Genomic DNA, 12,202 nt, shown 5'->3' with positions numbered 1-12,202 from the left:
CAATCATGGCATAAGCAAAGGAGAAGCAAGGACTTTCTTCACAAGGCGGCAGGAAATAGACCAAGAGAATAAGGAAGTGCCACACTTTCAAACCATTAGCTCTCATGAAAACTCATTCACTGTCACGAGAACAGCATGGGGGAAACCACCCCCATGAACCAATCACCTCCCACAAAGTCCCTCCCTCAACACATGGGAATTACAATTCGAGATGAGATTTGAGTGGGGACACAGAGGCAAACCATACATACCCCAAAACTCACATGAACAGATAATTAAACAGACTTTGAAAATATAGTGATTGAAACAGTGTGGTATATTGATCCAACCAAACATAACAGATAGCCTAGATTATACTTCATTACATGTGAAAATTTAACCTATGATAAGAGAAAAAACAAAATTGTTGAATAAATTATACTGGAACCTTTGACTAGCCATGTGAAAACTCCCTTCAATGTTATGTACCGAAACAATTTCCAAACAGATCAAAGACTTCTTTTAAATCAAAGAATAAATAAACTGTAAAAAAATAGAAATGAATATTGTCAAGCTTCTGGAAAGAGAGGGAGTGTCTAGAATTAAAAGAGATTTAAAATTCACAAAGGAAAAGATGGGCAGATGTGATTACAAAAAATTTTAATCTTCTGTACATAAAAAGCTTAATCAAACTTAAAAGGAGAACAACAAGCAGGGAGATACATTTGAAGTAATACAAAAAAGAATCATGTATTTATAATTTTCAGTTAATTCAAATCTGTAAAAGATAATAATAATAGGCCAACAAATGAGTAAAGAACAGACACCACAGATATTTCTCCCAAAGAGGAAATGCCACTGTTTAACAAACGTGGACAGTTTTTTTTTTTCAAAATATCTGCTGATCAAAGCCATGCAAATAAAAACAACATTTCGTGCCTTTCAAATTAGCTAGTCTTTCTAAATGATAATAGGCATATTAGCAAAAATGTAGCAAAATGCAGTAATTTTCTTACACTGCAGCTCAGTGTAAATTGGCATAGGCTTTTTTTAAGAGAGTAATTTGTAAATGTGTATTGAATGTCTTAAAATGGTCACATCCATTGAGCAGTAATTACACACTGAAATGTATCACTTAATGAAATAACCCAAAATTTTGATGGTGGGTGGGGGTAGGGGACGTGTGAGTTTATTCATCAAGATCAACATCATAACAGCATAAGTAACAGTGAGATAAGCATTTTAAATTATGAATGTTTGGTTAAATAATCCAGGCCACAGTCCTTGTGTGGAACATTATGAAATCATAAACGGCAGTGTTCACAATGACTGTATAATGCAGAAAATGCTTATGATATAATAGTAACTAGAAAAAAATAAAAATTACATATAGACAATGGGTATAATTATGTAAATAAAACTGTGCATAAAATACTGCCCTGAAGAAAAGAGACATTAAAATGTAAATAGTCATTATCCATAGATGGTAAAATTATGGATTATTTTTAAATTTTTCTTTCTGCTTTTCAGGAATTTTCTATCTTTTCTGAAAATATAATAAATGTGTTTATAAATATTTGATTTTTAAAAAAGTTCTATTCTTTTTGATACCTTGGGTCATTATGAATGTCAAAATTTTGCTTCAGTTAAAGGTCAGCTAGGGAAGACTTTGGAATGTAGTGGAAGGATATCAAAATATATATATTTTTTAATTATACATTTTTTAGGTCCTGGGATACATGTGCAGAATGTGCTGGTTTGTTACATAAGTATATACGTGCTATGGTGGTTTGCTGCACCCATCAACCTGTCATCTACATTAGGTATTTCTCCTAATGCTACCACTCCCCTAGCCACCCACCCCACAACAGGCCCCGGTGTGTGATGTTCCCCTCCCTGTGTCCATATGTTCTCATTGTTCACTTCCACTTATGAGTGAGAACATGTGGTGTCTGGTTTTCTGTTCCTGTGTTAGCTTGCTGAGAATGATGGTTTCCAGCTTCATCCATGTCCCTGCAAAGGACATGAACTCATCCTTTTTTATGGCTGCATAGTATTCCATGGTGTATATGTGCCACATTTTCTTTATCTAGTCTATCTTTGATGCGCATTTGGGTTGGATACAAGTCTTTACTATTGTGAACAGTGCTGCAATAAACATACGTGTGCATGTATCTTTACAGTAGACTGATTTATAATCCTTTGGGTATATACCCAGTAATGGCATTGCTGGATCAAATGGTATTTCTGGTTCTACTTCCTTGAGGAATTGCCACACTGTCTTCCACAATGGTTAAACTAATTTACACTCCCACCAACAGTGTAAATGCATTCCTATTTCTCCACATCCTCTCCAGCATCTGTTGTTTCCTGACTTTTAATGATTGCCATTCTACTTGGCATTAGATGGTATCTCATTGTAGTTTTGATTTGCATTTCTCTAATGACCAATGATGATGAGCTTTTTTAAATATGTTTGTTGGCCACATAAATGTCTTATTTTGAGGAGTGTCTGTTCATATCTTTTGCCCACTTTTTATGGGGTTGTTTGTTTTTTTCTTGTAAATTTGCTTAAGTTCCTTGTAGATTCTGGATATTAGCCCTTTGTCAGGTGGATAGAGTGTAAAAATTTTCTCCCATGCTGTAGGTTGCCTGTTCATTCTGATGATAGTTTCTTAATTAGATCCAATTTGTCAATTTTGGCTTTTGTTGTCCTTGCTTTTGGTGTTTTAGTCATGAAGTCTTTGCCCATGCCTATGTCCTGAATGGTATTGCCTAGGTTTTCTTCTAGGGTTTTTACGGTTTTAGGTCTTACATTTAAGTCTTTAATCCATCTTGTGTTAATTTTTATATAAGGTTTAAGGAAGGGGTCCAGTTTCAGTTTTCTGCATATGGCTAGCCAGTTTTCTCAACACCATTTGTTAGATAGGGAAACCTTTTCTCATTGCTTGTTTTCGTCAGGTTTGTCAAAGATCAGATGATTATAGATGTGTGGCATTATTTCTGATGCCTCTGTTCTGTTCCATTGGTCTATATATCTGTTTTGGTACCAGTGCCATGCTGTTTTGGTTACTGTAGCCTTGTAGTATAGTTTGAAGTCAGGTAGCGTGATGCGTCCAGTTTTGTTCTTTTTGCTTAGGACTGTCTTGGCTATATGGGCTCTTTTTTGGTTCCATATGAATGAACTTTAAAGTAGTATTTTCCAATTCTGTGAAGAAAGTCAATGGTAGCTTGATGGGGATAGCATTGAATCTATAAATTACTTTGGGCAGTATGGCCATTTTCATGATATTGATTCTTCCTATCCATGAGCATGGAATGTTCTTCCATTTGTTTGTGCCCTCTCTTATTTCCTTGAGCATTGGTTTGTAGTTCTCCTTGAAGAGATCCTTCACATCCCTTGTAAGTTGGATTCCTAGGTATTTTATTCTCTTCGTAGCAATTGTAAATGGGAGTTCACTCATGATTTGGCTCTCCATTTGTCCATTATTGGTGTATAGAAATGCTTGTGATTTTTGCACATTGATTTTGTATCCTGAGACTTTGCTGAAGTTGCTTATCAGCTTAAGGAGATTTTGGGCTGAGACGATGGGGTTTTCTAAATACGCAATTATGTCATCTGCAAACAGAGATAATTTGACTTCCTCTCTTCCTATTTGAATACGCTTTATTTCTTTCTCTTGTCTGATTGCCGTGGCCAGATCTTCCAATACTATGTTGAATAGGAGTGGTGAGAGAGGGCATCCTTGCTGTGTGCCAGTTTTCAAATGGAATACTTCCAGCTTTTGCTCATTCAGTATGATATTGGCTGTGGGTTTATCATAAATAGTTCTTATTATTTTGAGATAAAGTTCCATCAATACCTAGTATATTGAGAGTTTTCAGCAGGAAGGGATGTTAACTTTTATTGAAGGCCTTTTCTCCATCTATTGAGGTAATCATGTTGTTTTTGTCATTGGTTCTCTTTATATGATGGATTGCATTTACTGATTTGCATATGTTGAGCCAGCCTTGCATCCCAGGGATGAAGCTGACTTGATCATGGTGGATAAGCTTTTTGATGTGCTGCTGGATTCGGTTTGCCAGTATTTTATTGAGGATTTTCACATTGATGTTCATCAAGGATATTGGCCTGGAATTTTCTTTTTTTGCTGCATCTCTGCCAGGTTTTGGTATCAGGATGATGCTGGCCTCATAAAATGAGTTACGGAGAGGTCCCTCTTTTTCTATTGTTTGCAATAGTTTCCAAAGAAATGGTACCAGCTCTTTTTGTACCTCTGGTAGAATTCAGCTATGAATGCGTTTGGTCCTGGGCTTTTTTTAGTTGGTAGGCTATTAATTACTGCGTCAATTTCAGAACCTGTTATTGGTCTATTCAGTGACTCAACTTCTTCCTGGCTTAGTCTTGAGAGGGTATATGTGTCCAGAAATTTATCTATTTCTTCTAGATTTTCTAGTTTATTTGGGTAGAGGTATTTATAGTATTCTCTGATGGTAGTTTGTATTTCTGTGGGATCAGTGGTGATATCTCCTTTATCATTTTTTATTATGCTTATTTGATTATTCTCTCTTTTCTTCTTTATTAATCTGGCTAGCAGTCTATGTATTTTGTTATTCTTTTTAAAATAAACAGCTCCTGGATTCACTGATTTTTTGAAGGGTTTTTTGTGTCTCTATCTCCTTCTGTTCCGTTCTGATCTTAGTTATTTCTTGCCCTCTGCTAGCTTTTGAATTTGTTTGCTCTTGCATCTCTAGTTCTTTTAATTGTGATGTTAGGGTGTCGATTTTAGATCTTTCCCACTTTCTCCTGTGGGCATTTAGTGCTATAAATTTCCCTCTAAACACTGCTTTAGCTGTGTCCCAGAGATCCTGGTACATTGTGTCTTTGTTCTCATTGGTTTCAAACAACTTATTTATTTCTGCCTTAATTTCATTATTTACCCAGTAGTCATTCAGGAGCAGGTTGTGCAGTTTCCATGTAGTTGTGCGGTTTTGAGTGAATTTCTTAATCCTGAGTTCTAATTTGATTGCACTGTGGTCTGAAAGACTATTTATTATGATTTCCATTCTTTTGCATTGGCTGAGGAGTGTTTTACTTCCACTTATGTGGTCAATTTTAGAATAAGTGCAATGTGGTGCTGAGAAGAATGTATATTCTGTTGATTTGGGGTGGAGAGTTCTGTAGATGTCTATTAGGTCTGCTTGGTCCAGATCTGAGTTCAAGTCCTGAATATCCTTGTTAATTTTCTGTCACATTGATCTGCCTAATATTGACAGTAGGGTGTTAAAGTCTCCCACTATTATTCTGTGGGAGTCAAAATTTCTTTGTAGGTCTTTAAGAACTTGCTTTATGAATCTGGGTGCTCCTGTATTGGGTGCATATATATTTAAGATAGTTAGCTCTTCTTGTTGCATTGATCCCTTTACCATTATGTAATGCCCTTCTTTGTCTTTTTTGATCTTTGTTCATTTAAAGTCTTTTTTATCAGAGACTATGGTTGCAAACCCTGCTTTTTTTTTTTTTTGCTTTCCATTTGCTTTGTAAATATTCCTCCTTCCCTTTATTTTGAGCCTATGTGTGTCTTTGCACATGAGATGGGTCTCCTGAATACAGCACACCAATGGGTCTTGACTCTTTATCCAATTTGCCAGTCTGTGTCTTTTAATTGGGGCATTTAGCCTATTTACATTTAAGGTTAATATTGTTATGTGTGAATTTGATCCTGTCATTATGATGTTAGCTGGTTATTTTGCCTGTTAGTTGATGCAGTTTCTTCATAGTGTTGATAGCCTTTACAATTTGGTATGTCTTTGCAGTGGCTGGTACTGGTTTTTCCTTTCCATATTTAGTGCTTCCTTCAAGAGCTCTTGTAAGGCAGGCCTGGTGGTGACAAAATCTCAGCATTTGCTTGTCTGTAAAGGATTTTATTTCTTTTTCACTTATGAAGCTTGGTTTAGCTGGATATGAAATTCTGGGTTGAAAATTCATTTCTTTAAGGATGTTGAATATTGGCCCCCACTCTCTTCTGGCTTGTAGGGTTTCTGCAAAGAGATCCACTGTTAGTCTGATGGGCTTCCCTTTGTGGGTATCCTGACCTTTCTTTCTGGCTGCCCTTAACATTTTTTCCTTCATTTCAACCGTGGTGAATCTGACGATTATGTGTCTTGGGGTTGCTCTTTTCAAGGATTATCTTTGTGGTGTTCTCTGTATTTCCTGAATTTGAATGTTGGCCTGTCTTGCTAGGTTGGGGAAGTACTCCTGGATAATATCCTGAAGAGTATTCTCCAACCTGGTCCCATTCTCCCCCTCACTTTCAGGTACAACAATCAAACGTAGGTTTGGTCTTTTCACATAGTCCCATATTTCTTGGAGGTTTTGTTCCTTCCTTTTCATTCTTTTTTCTCTATTCTTGTCTTCACACTTTATTTCATTAAGTTGTTCTTCAATCCCTTATATCCTTTCTTCTTCTGTTTGATTGATTCGGCTATTGATACTTGTGTATGCTTCTCAAATTTCTGATGCTGTGTTTTTCAGCTCCATCAGGTCATTTATGTTCTTCTCTAAACTGGTACTTCTAGTTAGCAATTCCTCTAACCTTTTTTCAAGGTTCTTAGCTTCCTTGCTTTGGGTTAGAACATGCTCCTTTAGCTCAGAGGAGTTTGTTATTATCACCTTCTGAAGCCTACTTCTGTCAATTCGTGAAACTTATTCTCTGTCCAGTTTTGTTCCCTTGCTGGTTAGGAGTTGTGATCCTTTGGAGGAGAAGAGGTGTTCTGGTTTTTGGAATTTTCAGCCTTTTGCTCTGGCTTTTCCTCATCTTCGTGCATTTATCTACCTTTGGTCTTTGATGTTGGTGACCTTTGGATAGCGGTTTTGTGTGGACATCCTTTTTGTTGAGGTCAATGCTATTCCTTTCTGTTTGTTAATTTTCCTTCTAACAGTCAGGCCCCTCTGCTGCAGATATGCTGGAATTTGCTGGAGGTCCACTCCAGCCCTGTTTGCCTAGATATCACCAGCGGAATCTACAGAACAACAAAGACTGCTGCCTGTTCCTTCTTCTGGAAGCTTCGTCCCAGAGGGGCACCCGCCTGATGCCAACTGAAGCTCTCCTGTATGAGGTTTCTGTCGACCGCTGCTGGGAGCCGTCTCCCAGTCAGGAGGCGCAAGGGTCAGGGACCCACTTGAGGAGGCAGTCTGTCCCTTAGCAGAGCTTGAGTGCTATGCTGGGAGATCCCCTGCTCTCTTCAGAGCCAGCAGGTGGGAAAGTTTAAGTCCGCTGAAGCTGCGTCCACAGGCGCCCTGTCCCCCAGGTGCTCTGTCCCAGGGAGATGGGAGTTTTATCTATAAGCCCCTGACTGGGGCTGCTGACTTTCTTTTAGAGATGCCCTGCCCAGAGAGGAGGAATCTAGAGAGGCAGTCTGGCTACAGCAGCTTTGCTGAGCTGTGGTAGGCTCCACCCAGTTCAAACTTCCACGCGGCTTTGTTTACACTGTGAGGGGAAAACCGCCTACTCAAGCCTCAGCAATGGCGGACACCCCTCCCCCGACCAAGCTCCAGCACCCCAAGTCAACTTCAGACTGCTGTGCTGGCAGCGAGAATTTCAAGCCAGTAGATCTCAGCTTGCTGGGTTCTGTACAGGTAGGATCTGCTGAGCTTGACCACTCAGCTCCCTGGCTTCAGCCCACTTTCCAGGGGAGTGAACTGTTCTGTCTCACTGACATTTCAGGTGCCACTGGGGTATAAAAAAAACTCCTACAGCTAGCTCAGTGTCTGCCCAAACAGCCACCCAGATTTGTGCTTGAAACCCAGAGCCCTGGTGGTGTAGGCACCTGAGGGAATCTCCTGGTCTGCGGGTTGCAAAGACCATGGGAAAAGCATAGAATCTGGGCTGGATAGCACTGTTCCTCATGGCACAGTACCTCAGGGCTTCCCTTGGCTAGGGGAGGGAGTTCCCCGACCCCTTGTGCTTCCCAGGTGAGGCAACGTCCCACCCTGCTTTGGCTCGCCCTCCGTGGGCTGCACCCACTGTCTAACCAGTCCCAATGAGATAAGCCAGGTACCTCACTTGGAAATGCAGAAATCTCCCGCCTTCTGTGTTGATCTCACTGGGAGCTGCTGACCGGAGCTATTCCTATTTGACCATCTTGCCAGCCACCTGGAAGGATATCAAAATATTCTACCCCAAAATATGGCTCCCTGGTATAATGAGTGTTTTAAACTAAAAACTCTTAGAGACCATCAAGTACTGGAAGAGAATTTTCCTTATCTATGCAGAGACAGGACTGACCCGCTGAGGACAAGTGTTCTAGTTCCCCTGCCTCTTATTCTCCATTGCAAAAAGAAGACCAAAAATGTAACCACATCTGAACAGACCCCCTTTGAAGATAAACAGTTTCCCAGGACCACGTAAATTCCAAACAGAACTATTCACCTGTTAATTTCTGTTCCCTGGTCATCATATTGCCCCTCAATAGAATTCCTCTTCTCCCTACTCCCATAACCTGTTTTCTGTAATCTCAAGATGATGTATAAGCTTCTGTACCTTGTAAATTGAAAAAACTGATTGAGGCAAGTCTCAATCCTTTTAGATTTGCCAGAGTTGCCCACTTTTGGCAAAGATTTGCCAAAATTGCTCTTGATGTGCACCAGGAGACAGGTCTATGTCTTTCTCCAAAGACGATTTTGAGGGCTTCAAGGAGAAAGGGCAGATATTGAGGGAATATACAATTTTCATGTGAGAGGGGGTAGAGAAAATAGTCATTCCTGCCTTCCTCTGGCTCAATGAATCTGCAGTTTTACATACAGTAACATAGACAGTAGGTCAGGGGAAGTAATCAGATATGCATTTGTCTCAGGTGAGTGGAGGGATGACTTTGAGTTCTGTCTTATGGTCCTTGCTTGGGCAGACAAATTATTAATTTACATTGCCAAGGTGAAATTCAACAGAAATGATTTAAGGTAAAGATCTTGGAGCCTACAAGGAATTTCCTTATGGGCAAAATGTGAGGGAGGTATGTAGCTTTTTATCTTTGTAGCCATCTTATTTAGGAACCAAATGGGAAGCAGGTTTGTGTCACCCAGTTCCCAGCTTGACTTTTCCTTTTGGCTTAGTGAGTTTGGGGTCTCGAGATTTATCTTCCTTTTACAGCCTATTTGGGAAGTTGAGTCTTCATTCTGAAGGCGTCTGTGTATACACGTGAAATAAATTTGTATGCCACTCTTCTATTCATCAATCTGCCTCAGTAACTTTCAGCAAAACTTTAGGGGGCAAAGGGCCCTGGGCCCCACAGTTATGGCACTGTGAGCAAGATCATCAAAATTGTTCTTTTTTTTCAGGAAGCCACAGCAAGGGGAACCCAGGAAACTGACACCGTGGCAAAAGTGTAAGAATTTCTTACCAGCCAGGCTCCTGGCCTGGTTCTCTGGGCAATCCAGTTGAGCAAACAGTAAAAATCACTATCTGTCTCCTCTGCAAGGTTTGATTAACGGCAAAAAAAGGATCTGTGTGGCTAGTCTTGGGGTGTGATGTCTCTGGTGTACTTTTGGTACTTTGTGGTATGAATATTCATATCGTTTGATCCCTTTCCCCTCAGAAACAGCCTTTTTTTGTTGTTGCCATTTTTCTTTGTCCTTGTCCTTCTGTGTTGTTCTGTTGTAAAGAGGGGCATGGAGTAGAACATGGACCTGGAAAGCCTATAAGCCTGCAGTTTGAGCTGGCTCTGCAGATAAGTCAGTTTTGCAGTTCTGACTAGACCTGTGTCTGTTAAGATAAACTTTGCGATGGGTCCCTGAAATGAAAACCAGATGACATTTTCCACTCTTCTTGTTTTATGTCCTTGAGATCTTGACTTGTAATTAAGTGCAGATACTTCTTCTTAATCTCTGCTATCTGGAGGGCATGATTTTTGGGGTTACACTGAGAGAGGAGAAAGGAAGAAGCTGGTCGGGGGGCAGCTAGGGTGGTTCCTCAGTTCAAGCAAAAGAACTGCCTGCAGACACAGATAAAGAAACTTGCACAGGGGGGCTTGCCTAAGACATGTCCACAGCTGCACAGATAAGAAAGGCTACACAGGTGACTTGCCCAGACATGCCCTGCAATGGAAAATTCCATTCCCTGACACATGTGCAGTAAGAGGAGCAAAGCAATATGGAGTAATTTGAGCTAAGGGCCCACATGCGCACTAGAAGGATGGGGTGGAGCTACCAGAAATTCATGCATTATGCAAATGAGACACCCAGCCCTCCTTGGTTTCTTATAAAAGCCTTTGTATTCAACTGTAAAAATGGCAGCCTTCTTCCATGTCCCCTCTCTGTGGCAAAGAACATACTTCTTTCACTTACTAAACTTTCACTTCAACCTCACCTTTTGTGTCCATGCTCCTTAATTCTCTTGGTCCTGAGACAATTAACTCTGAGTGAAACTTTCCAAAGAGAGACTGCTTTATTGTGGTGCACTGGCAAGACTGTAACAACATCAGGTGGCCAGTCTGAAAAGATTGGGAATCTGAGAGGTAAGATTTTAAGCAGCACACTTGTCATTCTGAACATGTCAAGCTTTAAGGGGAACTTTGTCTTAAAAGGGTCTCATTCTTAAGAAACTTTTGCCGTATTTGCTATCTTAGGTCTATTTGTGAGACAAAAAAATCTAGGGGGTTCATGGGGACTGCCTCCTTTATGCGCTCTCAAGGAATAACTCTTGCTTATATGGAAAAAATCTGGAAATTTACCACCTGGGCTTTATATGAAGAGGCTTTTGGATTCAGTTACTATTGGAATTAAGTACTCAAATAACAATTCTATGTGATAACGTAATCTAACTTGCAGTCTTTCCTATTAAACTATGATTTCCCTTAAGGCAAAGATTAAATCTTCTTTTTCTTCATGTCTCCAGGGCTTAGCATATTGCCTGGTGCATGAAAGACACACTGTAAATGTTAGCTGACTTGAGTTCTGCCTTTTTTTTTTTTTTTTTTTTGATACAGGTCCTGTTCCAGAGAAGTAGTGGCTCAAACATGGCTCACTATAGCCTAAAACTTCCAGGCTCAAGTGATCCTCCCACCTCCGCTTTCCAAGTAGCTGGGACTACAGGCACACACCATGACACCCAGCTAATTTTTTACTTTTTGTGGAGACAGGGTCTTGTTATGTTGCCCAGGCTGGTCTTGAACTCCTGGGCTCAAGCAACCTCTACCTCAGCCTCCAAAAGTGTTGGGATTATAGGCGTGAGCCAACACACCCGGCCTGAATTCTTAGCTCCAGCTGCCATAACAAAATCCCATAAACTGGGTGGCTGACAACATAAATGTATTTTCTCATAGTTCTGGTGGCTAGAGTCTGAGATCAGTGAACCAGCATGGTCGGGATCTGGCAAAGGTTCTCCTCTTGGCTTGCAGACAGCTGCTCCTCACATGGTAGAGAGAGAGAAAGAGAGATGGCTCTTTGGTATCTCTTCTTATAAGGTCACTAATCCCACCATGAGGATCCCAGCCTCACGACCTCATCTACACCTAATTATCTCCCAAAGGCCCCATTCCATCTCTATGTACTACTACATTGGGGGTTAGAGTTTCAACATACAGATTCTAAGGGACATAATTCAGTCCATAGCAAGCTTATATCCAATTGAGAGCCAGGAGTCCTGCAAAGAGGAGTCCCCTGACACCTGTTAGAAAATGGGCTCCACGTGTCAAGGGATCCATCCTCATCATTAAGATATAGGCTGAGTGGACACAATGGCTCCCACTTGTAATCCCAACACTTTGGGAGGCCAAGGCAGGTGGATTGCTTGAGACCAGGAGTTTGAGACCAGCCTGTGCAACATGGTGAAATCCTGTCTCTACCAAAACTACAAAAATTAGCTGGGTGCGGTGGTGTCATGCCTGTAGTTCCAGCTACTTAGGAGGTTATTAAACCTCCTGAGTAGGAGGCAGGAGGATGGCTTGAGCCTGGGAGGTGGAGGTTGCAGTGAACTGTGATTGTACTACTGCACTCTAGCCTGGACGACAGAGTGAGACCCTGTCTCCAAAGTGGGGGGAAGATACAGGCTGAGCAGACTGTTATTGTTAAAAACACTGTGCTTTCCTCTGTGTACATACAAACTCTTCTGCCTTCTCCAGGGCAGTATAAAATATAACTACACAAGCTCAAAAGAAACAAGTGCACAAACCTAAGCCAGACTCAGGTGCATATGTGAAAAGTTCTGTGTAAACTCAAGAGATTCTT

At 40.6% G+C, this 12,202-nt stretch overlaps 2 annotated features.

Moving 5' to 3' along the window:
• Positions 9,382–10,581: an enhancer, noted in NCBI's record as "MED14-independent group 3 enhancer chr16:25564716-25565915 (GRCh37/hg19 assembly coordinates)". NCBI's record gives its function as "activates an origin of replication core promoter dependent on BRD2, BRD4, P300/CBP and CDK7 cofactors, and independent of MED14, by STARR-seq in HCT116 cells {active_cell/tissue: HCT116}" and the evidence as "EXISTENCE:reporter gene assay evidence [ECO:0000049][PMID:35650434]".
• Positions 9,594–9,888: a silencer, noted in NCBI's record as "tiled region #12332; HepG2 Repressive non-DNase unmatched - State 11:FaireW". NCBI's record gives its function as "represses a minimal TATA promoter and a strong SV40 promoter by Sharpr-MPRA in HepG2 cells {active_cell/tissue: HepG2}" and the evidence as "EXISTENCE:reporter gene assay evidence [ECO:0000049][PMID:27701403]".

The sequence above is a fragment of the Homo sapiens genome, chromosome 16 (assembly GCF_000001405.40).
Source record: "Homo sapiens chromosome 16, GRCh38.p14 Primary Assembly".
NCBI classification, from domain to species: Eukaryota; Metazoa; Chordata; class Mammalia; order Primates; family Hominidae; genus Homo; species Homo sapiens.
The sequence above is the reverse complement of the archived record's forward strand: the minus strand, read 5'-3'. Positions and strand labels throughout refer to the sequence as shown.